This window comes from Homo sapiens, chromosome 9 (assembly GCF_000001405.40).
Source record: "Homo sapiens chromosome 9, GRCh38.p14 Primary Assembly".
Lineage (NCBI taxonomy): Eukaryota > Metazoa > Chordata > Mammalia > Primates > Hominidae > Homo > Homo sapiens.
The window spans coordinates 61,327,047-61,343,192 of NC_000009.12; the positions used below are offsets into that span (position 1 = coordinate 61,327,047).

The following is a 16,146-nucleotide window of genomic DNA, read 5'->3' on the forward strand; positions in this document are numbered from 1 at the left end:
AAAATTCTTTTACTTCTATGACTGTGGCTCCTGCCAGACCTTTGTGTTCCCCGGCTGCTGCCTTCTGGGGATCTGGCAGCAACCGTTCCTCCCTCTGCGCCTCTGCTGTAGGTAGTAAAGGCTTTCTGCTAGTGCTTGTCTTTGGTTGCCACAATGTCACCTGGTGGGTCCCTTCACTTTTCTTTTCAGCCTGTCCCTTTAAACTATCTGAGCAAATCATGCTTTCTTTCTGGGCCTTGACTAATGCAGTAGTGCATTTTAAAAATCTGACTAATATCACATTGCATTGCTTAGAAAAATATCATAAGAAAAATAATTCTTTGAGAAGTAGCATATTTGTGAAAGTAGATCTATTTAGGAATTAAAATGCTATTAGATTGGCAGGCAAATGTTATATTTTTGTATTCTCACTCTATTTTCTAGAACTGAAAACTAAGTTCTAGCTTAGACTGCAATGCACACGGTATACTACAAAGAGAGACGATAAAATTGCAGGATGAGAGTATAAAGTACAAGGTAAAACCTTATTGAAACAAAATAAGCACAACTCTATGTACAGGTTGTATGTGTTTATATATAAGAGCCAAGGCCGGGTGTGATGGCTCACGCCTGTAATCTCAAGACTTTGGGAGGCCAAGGCGGGTGGATCACTTGAGCTCAGGAAGTTCGAGACCAGCCTGGGCAACATGGAAAAACCTTGTCCCTACCAAAAATACAAAAACTTAGCCGGGTGTGGTGGCACTCACTTGTTCTCCCAGCTTCTCAGGAGGCTGAGGCACAAGAATTGCTTGAACCTGGGAGGCAGAGGTTGCAGTGAGCGAAGATCACACCACTACTGCACTCCAGTCTAGGCGACAGAGCGAGACTCTGTCTCAAAAAAAAAAAGAAGAAGAAGAGCCAAAACAAGGATACATAAGGATACATACCAGCCTGTCAGCCTGTTTTGTATCATTGGTTACCTCAGTGGGGTTGGGGTGATGGTAGTGGCAATTATTAACATTTTCTTTATACAATTCTTTTAAAAATGTTCCTTTTGTAATTCAAAATATTCAAGAACAAATTTCAAAAGAGTCTGTCTTAACAAACATTTACATTCTTATAATCCAGAAGCTAGTCATCAAACACACCTCAGTATCATCATTTGTTCCAATATAAATATACTCACTTCCTAAATATGTGCTATTGCAAAGTAGATCTTATTCCTTTCTTATTCTGGTTGAATCATACAACCATTATCCAGATTGAAATAAAAAATATAATTGTATTTATTATCCATGTTAAGGTTAAATAGAAGGTAAGAAGTTTCAAAGTTTAAATTGCATTATCATGGAAAGTAGGGAAGAAAGGAAATAAAGCAGCAACACATAAAACATTTATATTTGTGATATTCGATATTTTTTCTGGGACATCCAGTGTTCTAGTTACATCGGCCATCTCGAATTCATGTCTTCATTTGTTCAGTAAGTGTGTAGTGTGTGATGATTGTGACGGATGCTTCTCTACTAGGCAAAGTAATTTTTAGAGCCTCACTACTCTTAGTCTGCAAAGTTCATTGCCAGCATTATCACCACAGCAAGTGTCTATGCTGATTTAAATAATAACCATATAGCAGCAAGTATAGCCACATAAAATGCATTTCAAGACACACATTTATGTTTAAGGACTTCAAGTCCCCTAACCAAACAACTTAAGTAGAATAAACCTAAATAAGTTTTAAGTCAAAAGCAGGGGAATCAAAACAATTACAAGCCTCCTGTCTTAGAAGAAAATGCTGATGCTTATTGGCTTAACCATATAAAATAGTGTATATACATTTACTAGACATGAACAATTTGGAACAAATTTTGAGTGTACCTATAAGTGTGTAAAATGTATATTTTATGTATTGGGAATAATATTCATAAATATATTCCTCCAATGTTGTAAAAAATGCATGCACCCTCACTACGCTAGTGATTTTACAGTTTAATGAAGCCATTTTGTTTTAATTGCAAATGTCTACCACCGTAGAAGTTTCTTGGCCTTTCTCCATTAAGCCTAACACTTTGAACACCCAAGTTCACTTTTTTTTTTTTTTGTCTTGAGACGGAGTCTGGCTCTGTCGCCAAGCTGGAGTGCAGGGTGCAATGTTGGCTTGCTGCAACCTCTGCCTCCCGGGTTCAAGCAATTCTCCTGCCTCAGCCTCCCGAGTAGCTGGGACTACAGGCAGGCACCACCACGCCCGGTTAATTTTTTGTATTTTAATAGAGACAGGGTTTCACCGTGTTGGCCAGGATGGGCTCCATCTCCTGACCTCTTGGCCTCCTCCGCCTCCCAAAGTGCTGAGATTACAGGCATGAGCCACTGCACCCGGCCAAGTTCACATTTTTAAAGACTCCATCTGATGCCTGACAAATTGGTATAATAATAGATTGACATTTGTTGTTTTACTCTAGGTCCAATTTAGAAAATGATTTCCATTTTCTCTCTTTCTGTCTCACTGAAGGCAACTGATCTGTCAATCAAAACTTTAGATTTATAATTTTTTCTGTAATAAAAGACGTGCTATTTACAGAGTTCTTGTGCAAAAGTAGTTTAAGTGAACCCAATTAATAATTCAAGAATGACTTTGTAAGATTCTTCATCTATTACATTTGAATTCATTTTACATTTTACATCTATTACATTTGAATTCATTTTAATGAAAAAGCCTTTCAAAGTTGTCTTTCCAAAGGGAAGATTAATACACTATTTCTTAGAGATACCATCTAAAAAAGTATCTTTCTTTCTTTTTTCTTTTTTGGAAACTCGCGGTGGTGGTAATGTGAGTGAGTTTGTCAATCTTTGCCCCTACTGTGAATTTGAGAAGCAGAGGAAGAGAAAAAGAGAAAGACCCCCCCCGCCCCCTGCCTCCGCCCCTCCCTCTAGCACACAGTAGGCACGCAAGGAGTGCAGTGTTAGCTGCTGCTGGACTGAGCTCCTCATCCTACACTTGCAGGGGTTGCTCTTTTGGACAGAAAGCTGGAATAAAACGTAAATTTTAGACTTCCACCAAGGCCAGGACTAGGGTGAAGGGACTAACGCACTAGTCTCAGGAGCAACTGTTAAGTAACGCTAATCCTGAATGAATGAAATAGTTTTAAAATTGAATGTAATCGCAAAGAAAAAAAAAACCCATGATAGACAAAATATTAAAACTTTAAATAAAGGCTTGCACTCGCACAACCCAGGCTCACCGGCCTCTCCCTGCTCCTGGCCCGGTTTCCCAGCTTGGTTCTCTACAAGTCAGAATTCCTAGCAAAATCAAAGTGTGCGCGCGTCTGCCCGAGTACACGCCGCAGAGTTATTTCTGCCCCATCTTCCCTATTTGAACTCAAACAGGACAGCATTTTCCTGGGTGCAGCCCCTGCGTTGGGTGAACAGCGCAGTGATAAAGCCTGGCGTTCTCCACCTGCAGGCGGAGGCTGACGGCGCGGTCTTTGGCGCGAGTCCGTGCACCGCGGCCGCCCCGCCCCGGTGGGAGAGAGGGACGGAGGAAGCTGCAGGTATAACGGGAGGAGAGCGCCAGGCGGAGCTGGGGCGTCCCTCCCGCTCGCTTCTTGACTCGCGTTGCTGCCGGCCGCCTCCCGCGCCTAGTGTCCGGGACGCGCCTGAACCTGCCGCCTCCGTGCCTGGGGTGGCGCCGCGCGGCCCCGAGCGCTCCAGAAAGCTGCGGCGCGAGTCCGCGGGGCCGACCTCGGAGACGCAGCTGGGGCCGGGCGCGGCTTGGCGGGAGGGTCTGCAGCGCCGAGGGAGGCTGCTAGTGCGTGAGGAAGAGAGCTAGAGACTGGACACGGGAGACAGAGCAGCGTCAGAGCCGCGCAGGGGACGGGAGTGAGAGCAGGAGCGACGCAGAGCGGCCGTCGCCGTGCCCGGGTCTCAGGGCGCCTGGCTGAAGTGAGCATGGCTTCAGTGGCCTGGGCCGTCCTCAAGGTGCTGCTGCTTCTCCCCACTCAGACTTGGAGCCCCGTGGGAGCAGGAAATCCACGTAAGTACAGCAAATGGTTTAAAACTTGCGCTAGGCTGTCTGGAAAACTTTGTTTTTTTTTTTATTATCGGTAATATTTGGAAGTGGAATTGCAGAACATGCTCCTGAACATGAAGAACCTTAAAAAAAATTTGGAATTGCAACCCGAAAAAGACGATTTTGTTTACAATAGACTTTCCTCTTGTGGGGGAGTCTAAGATATACCATGCATGTTTTGACTTTTTAATCGATGTACTTGAATATTCATTGAGAAAGTGGACGTTTCTGTAAAACCTGAAAAGCATCTTAATAAGAGATTAGCCTGCAAATGCTGTCATTTATTCCTTTTTAGGATTGTAATATTTTGTAGGAATTAAGTCTAACAGGGAAAAAACTGGCAGACATTACATCATACTGCATCAACTTAGATGTTAGCAGCTTACAGTTTTGCCGACCTTGGCAGCTTCAGAGTTAAAATGCTAATTAACTTCCATGCAGTATAGGGACAGAGCGCCTGTAGGTGAAACTAAATTAATAACCTGTCCTAACTACTAAGGGAATAACACTTGAACACCCCTGTCAGGGGCTTCGTTTCTCATAGTAGAAAGTTCTTGCTTAAAGACAAAACTCAGCCAGTCATTTAGGTGATCTTGAAAATGATTCCTCTCTGGATGCTAATATTTTACATTATTTAATTTGCCATCAGGTTCCCTGTTTTTTATTTTCCTTAATTTGGTAAACACCTAGGAAGCCTTTATTTCTAGAATGGGCTATGATTCTAATGTAATGATGATATTCCAGACAGATGAGCAAAACATAATGTACCCATATTTTATCACACATAAAAATGTTTGCACAACATTGCACATTTTTTTTTGGCTTGGAGTAAATCTCTATCAGAGAGTTGTCTTTCTTTCTTGATTAATCAAACCATGAGATTAGAATTTTTAAAATGTCTTCCTCTTCCTTCTCAAATCACTTTTATTTTTCTTTCAGTGGCATCTCCCCGCTGTCAGCCTCAGCCCTCTCCTACCAAAATCTCTTTCGAAATAAGTTCCAATAAACGCCAGTGGCCATGTTTGGAAATTTAGATTATTGCAGGATAACCAAGGGTAGCTTTCAGCAGTTCTCCTAAGCTGTCATGAAAAGTTTGCCGTAGCTCAGTGCTGTTCTGCCCGCGGGCTCAAGGGTGGGTTGGTTCTTCACACACAGGGCACGCACATGGGTTCATGAACTCACTGTGCATCATGATTCAGTTGCGCCTCAGTTAATCCTACACTTGGTGTGCCCTTCCAAAAAACAAGCTCCGGATTCCTTTGGTCAGATGCTGTACCGTGTTTCAGATTCAACTTTAATCTGCTTTTGTGAGAAGGCTTTGTGAATAAAACGTTGTTACTTAAATCAAAATCCTTGGGTCTTGTAATGGAAATTGCCGTTTGGCTTAAATAAACATATAAATGAGTTACTTATAGAAAGGCATGCTAGAGTAATTGACCAATCAACTGGCAAAATACAACAACAAAAAAAGTCACTAGAGGTCACTCTTACTATTGAATAAACAGGGCTTCAAAAAGACCTTCCTGGAGAAAAGCAAAGCAATGAAATCTGAGTGAGACCCTGCCACCACCTTTCCTGTTTTTGTTGCATAGTTGTGATTACTTTTTATTCTCAGGATTAGTTGTATTGGTAGTTATTTTGCTTGGAATCCAGTGGAAGGATTACAAAGCCCATAGAAATTAAGCTCTTCTCGTTTATAGTGAACATTCTTTTTGGAGGAGGGGAGGGCAGGGACAGATATTCCAAATGGACTCAGCACCAGACGGGACTCTCGCGAGTTGCTGAGTGACACGTAAAATTTCAATACTACTACTGTGGGTGTTTTCAGTCTTCTTTCGTTGATGAAACTTAGTATCCTCATATCTAATAAATTTTACTAATTTTAAATTACCTTTTAGATCAAGTAATTCTTCCAGATAAAACTATGTAACTGTAATAATTATACCACCTTCAATACCAAGAAGAAAGTCAATAAGGACATCTAAAAGTTTCCTTCTCATGAAGACACCATGAGTTGCTCACGTTATTCACAGCTGGTTTTCCAGAAGCACATTGGCCACCCACGAAGGCAGCCTGTTGATGATGGCATGAAATGGCTCTTCATGGGAAGAGCTCTATAGGCCGGGCACAGTGGCTCGCGTCTGTAATCCCAGCACTTTGGGAGGCCGAGGTGGGTGGATCACCTGAGGTCAGGAGTTCGAGACCAGCTTGGCCACCATGGTGAAACCCTGTCTCTACTAAAAATACAAAAATTAGCCGGGCGTGGTGGCAGGCATCTGTAATCCCAGCTTCTCGGGAGGCTGAGGCAGGAGAATCGCTTGAACCTGGGAGATGGAGGTTGCAGTGAGCCGAGATCCCACCATAGCACTCCAGCCTGGGCAACAAGAGGAAAACACAAAACTCTGTCTCAAAAAAAAAAAGCTCTCTAAACATTTGGCATTTTGGGGATTATGTGCAGTTTATCTGAATGTTATTTGACCCGACAAATACATGGGAAAGCTTTGTTAGGAAGATTCTGCATGAAGGGAAATATTTTCCTAACTTCAGTGCCCATAGACTTGCAGTGAGTGAAAGGTCACTTACTGCTCTCATTGAGTCCCTGAAAACAGCAGGAAGCATCAAGAGAAAGATTGAACGCTGGGCACTGATCCCAGGGATACACAAACAAATGGCTGGGCAGATTTTGCAGAAATTCCTGTAACTGGTAAAATGCTGAGTAATAGCCTTTGATGTAACTTTTCAGTGGGTTAATTTATTCATTACTTAGCCTAAAACACTTTTAATTTTAATTGCCTCAATTTTTTCCCCTAAATGGTTATGTTTTGCAAGTTCGCCAGCCAGCCTGGGGAAAGAAGGGTAAGCCTACTATAGAGTGTGTGTGGGTTAGTTAGGGAACTCACTTAGATGTGAAATGTGTCAGGAAAGAGATCTCACAGAGTGTAGGAATAATTATTTTTACAGATGTTTCATTTTGGACCTTTTAGTAATACCATTTAAAGAGAGATTCTGCAGATGAGTAACAGACTCTTAATTTTAGTGTCAAATGGTACTCTATAAAAAATGGAGTTCAGGCCAGGCGCGGTGGCTCACACCTGTAATCCCAGCACTTTGGGAGGCTGAGGTGGGTGGATCAGTTGAGGTCGGGAGTTCGAAACCAGGCTGGACAACACGGTGAAACCCCGTCTCTACTAAAAATATGAAAAAATTTCAGGGCATGGTGGCAGGTGCCTGTGAGGAGGCAGTGAGCTGAGATCGTGCCACTGCACTCCAGCCTGGGTGACAGAGTGAGACTCTGTCTCAAAAAAAAAACCAAAAAATGTAGTTCAGTTGCCTTTATTCATTTTCACCAAACTCTATACAAACAGTACGGAGCATAAGTAGCCCATGGAAGTGATAATCAATTCCAAGACATTGGTTTGATCATGAAAAAAGAAAAATCAAATTACTTGGCGTTCTTCTTCCTCTTCCTCTCCCCTTCTCTTTTTGAACAATTCAGTCCAAGGTCATTCAGTTCAGCTTAGGCATCCATGCTGGGTAAGTGGGGAGGCCCAGGACCGTGGCAGAGCATTCAGAAACCAGCAGGGTAAGGAAAGCATCCACAGTGTAGCAAGGGTGGGGACCTGGAGAGACAGGAGACAGCACTGGTGGTGACCTATAGCAAGTTGTCAGAGGTTGAGTGGAGTGAGGAAGGAGGCATTCCAGATTGACGGAGGCTAAGAAAACAAGGCAACTAAATACTACTCTGCATTAAATGCTTATGTTATAAAGGACATGATTGGGAATTGGTGCAACTTGAACAAGATTGGGGATTAAATATTGGAACTTTATCCATGATGACTGGGATGATCATATTATGGTTATATAGGAGAACATCTTTGTTGTAGGAAATGTACATTGAAGTATTCAGGGGTGATACAGCATATTAGCGTAGTTCTTCCATGTTTTCTGTAAATTGGTTTCAAAATCAAATGGTTACTTTAAAAAACCATTCAAAATTGTGTTTAAAGGAAACATGGACCAATAGAAAAACTCAGAATAAGTAAATGTAGTTAAATTGATGCATTTTACCTAAGAGATGTAGATTAAAAATAAAGAGGCTGAAAAAAAACAGTTATGAGAAATAACAGTTCATTTATGTATGTCTCTAAATCAAATTAGCCTGGATTTCTGAATGACAAAGATGTGATTGGCACTGGGATTGTTCCCCATTCTTTTCGGGAAGTTTATTGCCTAGGACATCTGTATCAGTCTTCAAAGTACTTTTTAAAGCTTGAATATCTGAATGAACCCGTCAGACTGACTGTTATCTGGTCTTCTGTAATGGGCTTCCGCACCTTTGACGAGACTCTTAGCTGAAAGGTTGCTTGTCCCTAGGCCCGGTTGCTCCACGTTGTAAGAGCATTTGCAAACGCTTGGTTGTACATGATTGTGCACATGTCAAGTCTGCTCTGTCACTGTAGAAAAAATATTCCTTTTCACTTGACATATAAAGCATGGAATTGTTTGTTTTAAATGTCTTTTGTCAAGGATTTCATATATCTGCTTGATGTGTTGTACTGTATAAAAGACAAGTGTGAAATTCATTGCTTACTATGATAGCCTTAACAGGACTACAGTAAATCTAGTTTTCTAAAAAATGGAGTATATGCTTAGCTTGGTTAAAATTTTATAATGAAATGACTACTCTGGTAATAAAAATTAAAAAATATCATAAAGTGGGGGCTAAAAAATGATACTGCATGTGTTCCAGTTAATGAACATTTTTGTTGTAATAATACGAAGAGTGATTGAAATCTAAAAACATTTGAGATTTTAAAATAGTTTTAACCTTATAACTACAGGATTGTAATTTAAGTAGCATACCTACTTAATAAGGCAGCAATTAAAATTATTGCTAAGAATTAAATTACCAAGAAGACATGGTCTAGTATGTATTGCCTGGGCTGTGGTTTGAATTACTTTTGATTAAGTATAATCACATTTTTTGAGAGTATAAAAACAGAGGATATTACTTGCTTCTAATTCACAGATGTGTTTATGAACCATTGGCAATTAAAGCATTTGCAATTGAGGCCCTAAGAAAATTTTAGGTTAAAATAACATGTTGAGTTATGCCTTATAACTCAGTATATGCTTATACTTTATATGCTTTACGGAGTTTTGAATATATAATATATATATATAATAGTATATTTTTCCAGGAAATATATAACTTGTAGTTCCTTGACTTATTTTGTAACTAAATCCCATGGAAAAAAGTTTATTGAATGTCATTGTTTCTCAGGCAAATGTAGAGTTAGGAAAATGATATATATACATATTGGGAATCTTTTAGAAGGCTTGGACTTGGTAGCTCAAATCTTCTACAACCTTGAGCTTCAACTTTCTGGCCGGTTCAAGAGATCTCTTCACTGTCCTTTTCATGTAAAGTCAATGTTTATGGAACACTAGACCAAAATGGAAGGATTCCTTTGGAAACTGAACAAACAGTTGAATTAGTCTTTGACTTGATGGAGTGATTTGATCTAAAATATTACCTAACCGTTTTAGATATCTGTTCAATCAGAGCTGCCTCCATATACGCAAATGATAATTTGTCTTGGATTTTTAGATATCTTAGCCCTCAGACAAGCTAATAGAGTTTAAATTGAACCTGGTGTTTTAGGGACAGTTGAATTGTTGGGATGCCCAGGAAAACAGTCACATTTTTCTATAAGTATGTGTTTATTTGGCTGGAATGTGGGTGAGGAAGAAGTTATATGTGAATTAAAAGAAACATTGTCTCAATGTCACATGTTAAATTAAATTAAATTACAGGCAGAACTAAGCGAGTTTACGATTGCTGCCGCTGGGAGCAGAGACTATTTTCAGCTTACATTTATAACAGAAGGAGGGATTTAAAATATAGTATTATGCCTACCCTGATACAGCTAACCTCCTCCACCCGCCCCTCCACACACATACAGCTACATGCTTACCCTCGAACTATGAAAGAAGGGTGTCTCTCAGGCATCCTATATTTAACCCAGCTTTGGACACGTCCCTGGAGTCTAGTCTTTTTGAACACAGCAGTGAAGATAAGGAATGGGGAGGGGGCTTTGATTTCAAGACCACTAGATATAGTAGATTCCTAATTTAATTTCAAAGACAAATCAATTATTAACACAAATACAAAGAGAACAGTATTTTAAGCAAAGCTTCTGTTGTGGCAGATAACCTTTTAAGGTGTCTCCCAGTTGGGTTTCTATTTTAGATGACTTTTTGAAGAATATATCTCTGTAATAGAAATATGTTTGATGATTCTCATCTTTAAGAACTTCACATTTGCTATAATTAAGATATTTATGAATTTATTGTAAGAAGATTGGTAGAAAAAGTAATGCAACATCAAATGGGAAAATAAATATATAATATTATATAGCTGTTCAAATATAGGGTTTATGATTCTTGAGCTAATTTGAACTGCTGTACAACACCAGGAGAAAAGTCCACAGCTGTGTTAAGAAAGCTCTTATAAGCTTATGAAATTTTATAGCACTGGCTGTCACAGAACCTACAATTTACAAACATTTGTAAAAGTTAGGAAAGTTTTGGGTTCCTCAATAGAAAATGATGTTGCTTAGCTTTAAGAAAGTAACTAATTTATCTCTTTTTATTCTTGTCCACTAACAAAGGAACCCAAATGGTCTTTTAAAATTATAATAAAACTAAGCTAGTAAAATATCACATAGATTTTGAGATACTGTGAATAACCATAGAAAATAACAATTTGTTGTTCTTCATGTATAAAAATAAGCTTAACATGCTTATCAATACATCTTGAACTATAAGAGATTTATTTCAGCAGTGTTGCCAAAGGGTAAGCAATGCCTGCTGCCCGTAGAAAACTTTGAATTCCCTAAGCTCAGGGCTCCTCACTTGTCATGTAACCCACTGCGTGTGCACACATCCATCTGTGCCCATCCATATTCCCCCAGAGGACTTGGAGGCAAGGAAATTGATGCAAATATGCTGATGCTCATATTGTTTGCTATGCTGTAAGTAATACAGTCCTTTGCTTTGACCCAGGAGTCTTCTGCCGCAACGATGAAACAAACTGGCAGACTCATTTGTTAGCTTGCAAGTAGGGTAAAATCTCTCCTCACGGTTCTTCACAGTGTACTTGTCTGTGCAATGGTCATCTTCTTCATGAATATAATTATAACATGATATAAGAAATGGTGAGCTCTTACCTATAGATAAGCAAACATTGCAATATAAAAATAGCATATGTTATTTCATAAATCACAGTTGACACATTCTAGAGAAGAGATTGGGCAGCCTTTTTTGGATGTCACAGTTGATTCTACTGTCCTCATTTCTTCTTCTCTTTTCTGGGATATGAGGAAGAATTGCTGTGACAAAGCTCATCTCCTGGGTGGCCAGGGTTGATTGTCAATTTGTTTTGTTCTTGGAAGGCTAGGCAGATGTCCTCTACCTCCTTCTTTATGCCATGTGACGTTCATCCCTTTGATTTTCCTGTTGCATTTTATTTAGTATTTTAGAATACTGCCCACATTCCATTCTGGAAAGTCCACTCTCCCAGCCAGAGTTTTCTTAGACAGCTGAGCCTGTGATGGGCGTTTGTGCAGGTAGCCTCTTTTAGAAAGTGAGCTCATAAAAGAGGGAAGAATGGAATAGAGAAGAAAAATCCACCAAAAGGGGGTGTCATTGAGCTGGTCACTTCTGTGAGCAACTGGGGCATGAACTCCCTGGGAAGCTCTCAGGAAGCCGGGAGAATGTGTTTCACAGCTGTGCCTCTGAGAGACAGCAGGGGGAATGCATTTATCCCGAGTCCTGTCCAGGGATTCAGCACTGCCCTTGGGGCGCTAACTCCTGGCTCTAAGGAGAGGAATATGAATGAATGGGTTGCGACTGGGTTTCTGCAGGCATCACAGAGGCCAAGAGACAGAGAACTCGAACACTGAACTTTTTAATTTTTTATTATTTTATTATTATTATACTTTAAGTTATAGGGTACATGTGCACAATGTGCAGGTTTGTTACATATGTATACATGTGCCATGTTGGTGTGCTGCACCCATTAACTAGTCATTTAGCATTAGGTATATCTCCTAATGCTATCCCTCCCCCGTACCCCCACCCCACGACAGTCCCCGTTGTGTAATGTTCCCCTTCCTGTGTCCATGTGTTCTCATTGTTCAGTTCCCACCTATGAGTGAGAACATGTGGTGTTTGGTTTTTTGTCCTTGCGATAGTTTGCTGAGAATGATGGTTTCCAGCTTCATCCATGTCCCTACAAAGGACATGAACTCATCATTTTTTATGGCTGCATAGTATTCCATGGTGTATATGTGCCACATTTTCTTAATCCAGTCTATCATTGATTGACATTTGGGTTGGTTCCAAGTCTTGCTATTGTGAATAGTGCCGCAATAAACATACGTGTGCATGTGTCTTTATAGCAGCATGATTTATAATCCTTTGGGTATATACCCAGTAATGGGATGGCTGGGTCAAATGGTATTTCTAGTTCTAGATCCCTGAGGAATTGCCACACCGACTTCCACAATGGTTGTACTAGTTTACAGTCCCACCAACAGTGTAAAAGTGTTCCTATTTCTCCACATCCTCTCCAGCACCTGTTGTTTCCTGACTTTTTAATGATTGTCATTCTAACTGGTGTGAGATGGTATCTCATTGTGGTTTTTGATTTGCATTTGATTGCCAGTGGTGATGAGCATTTTTTCATGTGTTTTTTGGCTGCATGGATGTCTTCTTTTGAGAAGTGTCTGTTCATATCCTTTGCCCACTTTTTGATGGGATTGTTGGTTTTTTTCTTGTAAATTTGTTTGAGTTCATTGTAGATTCTGGATATTAGCCCTTTGTCAGATGAGTAGGTTGCAAAAATTTCCTCCCATTCTGTAGGTTGCCTGTTCACTCTGATTGTAGTTTCTTTTGCTCTGTAGAAGCTCTTTAGTTTAATTAGATCCCATTTGTCAATTTTGGCTTTAGTTGCCATTGCTTTTGGTGTTTTAGACATGAAGTCCTTGCCCATGACTGTGTCCTGAATGGTATTGCCTAGGTTTTCTTCTAGGGTTTTTATGGTTTTAGGTCTAACATTTAAGTCTTTAATCCATCTTGAATTAATTTTTGTATAAGGTGTAAGGAAGGGATCCAGTTTCAGCTTTCTACTTATGGCTAGCCAGTTTTCCCAGCACCGTTTATTAAATAGGGAATCCTTTCCCCATTGCTTATTTTTGTCAGGTTTCTCAAAGATCAGATAGTTGTAGATATGCGGCATTATTTCTGAGGGCTCTGTTCTGTTCTGTTGTTCTATATCTCTGTTTTGGTACCAGTACCATGCTGTTTTGGTTACTGTAGCCTTGTAGTATAGTTTGAAGTCAGGTAGTGTGATGCCTCCAGGTTTGTTCTTTTGGCTTAGGATTGACTTGGCAATGCAGGCTCTTTTTTGGTTCCAAATGAACTTTAAAGTAGTTTTTTCCAATTCTGTGAATAAAGTCATTGGTAGCTTGATGGGGATGGCATTGAATCTATAAATTACCTTGGGCAGTATGGCCATTTTCATGATACTGATTCTTCCTACCCATGAGCATGGAATGTTCTTTCGTTTGTTTGTATCCTCTTTTATTTCCTTGAGCAGTGGTTTGTAGTTCTCCTTGAAGAGGTCCTTCACATCCCTTGTAAGTTGGATTCCTAGGTATTTTATCCTCTTTGAAGCAATTGTGAATGGGAGTTCACTCATGATTTGGCTCTCTGTTTGTCTGCTATTGGTGTATAAGAATGCTTGTGATTTTTGCACATTGATTTTGTATCAAATCAAGATACAAAATCTTGAATTTGAGATTTTGCTGAAGTTGCTTATCAGGTTAAGGAGATTTTGGGCTGAGACGATGGGGTTTTCTAGATATACAATCATGTCATCTGCAAACAGGGACAATTTGACTTCCTCTTTTCCTAATTGAATGCCCTTTATTTCCTTCTCCTGCCTGATTGCCCTGGCCAGAACTTCCAACACTATGTTGAATAGGAGTGGTGAGAGAGGGCATCCTGTCTTGTGCCAGTTTTCAAAGCGAATGCTTCCAGTTTTTGTCCATTCAGTATGATATTGGCTGTGGGTTTGTCATAGATAGCTCTTATTATTTTGAGATAGGTGCCATCAATACCTAATTTGTTGAGAGTTTTTAGCATGAAGCGTCTTTGAATTTTGTCAAAGGCCTTTTCTGCATCTATTGAGATAATCATGAGGTTTTTGTCTTTGGTTCTGTGTATATGCTGGATTACGTTTATTGATTTTCGTATGTTGAACCAGCCTTGCGTCCCAGGGCTGAAGCCCACTTGATCATGGTGGATAAGCTTTTTGATGTGTTGCTGCATTCGGTTTGCCAGTATTTTATTGAGGATTTTTGCATCAATGTTCATCAAGGATATTGGTCTAAAATTCTCTTTTTTGGTTTTGTCTCTGCCAGGCTTTGGTATCAGGATGATGCTGGCCTCATAAAATGAGTTAGGGAGGATTCCCTCTTTTTCTGTTGATTGGAATAGTTTCAGAAGGAATGGTACCAGTTCCTCCTTGTACCTCTGGTAGAATTGGGCTTGTGAATCCATCTGGTCCTGGACTTTTTTTGGTTGGTAAGCTATTACTTATTACCTCAATTTCAGAGCCTGTTATTGGTCTATTCAGAGATTCATCTTCTTCCTGGTTTAGTCTTGGGAGGATGTATGTGTTGAGGAATTTATCCATTTCTTCTAGATTTTCTAGTTTATTTGCGTAGAGGTGTTTATAGTATTCTCTGATGGTAGTTTGTATTTCTGTGGGATTGGTGGTGATATCCCCTTTGTCATTTTTTATTATGTCTATTTGATTCTTCTCTCTTTTCTTCTTTATTAGTCTTGCTAGCGGTCTATCAATTTTGATGATCTTTTCAAAAAAACCAGCTCTTGGATTCATTGATTTTTTGAAGGGTTTTTTTGTGTCTCTATTTCCTTCAGTTCTGCTCTGATCTTAGTTATTTCTTGCCTTCTGCTAGCTTTTGAATGCGTTTGCTCTTGCTTCTCTGGTTCTTTTAATTGTGATGTTAGGGTGTCAATTTTAGATCTTTCCTGCTTTCTCTTGTGGGCATTTAGTGCTATAAATTTCCCTCTACACACTGCTTTAAATGTGTCCCAGAGATTCTGGTATGTTGTGTGTTTGTTCTCGTTGGTTTCAAAGAACATCTTTATTTCTGCCTTCATTTCTCAGTGTACCCAGTAGTCATTCAGGAGCAGGTTGTTCAGTTTCCATGTAGTCGAGTGGTTTTGAGTGAGTTTCTTAATCCTGAGTTCTAGTTTGATTGCACTGTGGTCTGAGAGACAGTTTGTTATAATTTCTGTTCTTTTACATTTGCCGAGGAGTGCTTTACTTCCAACTATGTGGTCAATTTTGGAGTAAGTGTGATGTGGTGCTAAGAAGAATATATATTCTGTTGATTTGGGGTGGAGAGTTCTGTAGATGTCTATTAGGTCTGCTTGGTGCAGAGCTGAGTTCAATTCCTGGATATCCTTTTTAACTTTCTGTCTCGTTGATCTGTCTGTTGTTGACAGTGGTGTGTTAAAGTCTCCCATTATTATTGTGTGGAAGTCTAAGTCTGTTTGTACGTCTCTAAGGACTTGCTTTATGAGTCTGGGTGCTCCTGTACTGGGTGCGTATATATTTAGGATATTTAACTCTTCTTGTTGAATTGATCCCTTTACCATTATGTAATGGCCTTCTTTGTCTCTTTTGATCTTTGTTGGTTTAAAGTCTGTTTTATCAGAGACTAGGATTCCAGCCCCTGCTTTTTTTTTGTTTTCCCTTTGCTTGGCAGACCTTCCTCCATACCTTTATTTTGAGCCTATGTGTGTCTCTGCACGTGAGCGGGGTCTGCTGAATACAGCACACTGATGGGTCTTGACTTTTTATCCAATTTGCCACTCTGTGTCTTTTAATTGGAGGATTTAGCCTATTTACATTTAAGGTTAATATTGTTATGTGTGAATTTGATCCTGTCATTATGATGTTAGCTGGTTATTTTGCTCATTAGTTGATGCAGTTTCTTCCTAGC

At 39.8% G+C, this 16,146-nt stretch overlaps 1 protein-coding gene across 6 annotated transcripts in view; it reads left to right on the plus strand.

Moving 5' to 3' along the window:
* Positions 1 to 3,394: 3,394 nt before the first annotated feature.
* Positions 3,395 to 16,146, plus strand: part of CNTNAP3C (contactin associated protein family member 3C) — a 131,026-nt gene continuing 118,274 nt past the window's right edge. For 5 of the 6 annotated variants that reach the window (XM_011545672.4, XM_017015380.2, XM_011545674.3 and 2 more), the window contains exon 1: positions 3,395 to 4,006. In XM_011545672.4, the coding sequence (XP_011543974.1) occupies positions 3,922 to 4,006 (85 nt within the window). In that variant the 5' untranslated portion in view covers positions 3,395 to 3,921. The remainder of the gene's footprint in view (positions 4,007 to 16,146) is intronic. The other variant, XM_047424299.1, reaches the window with a different exon arrangement.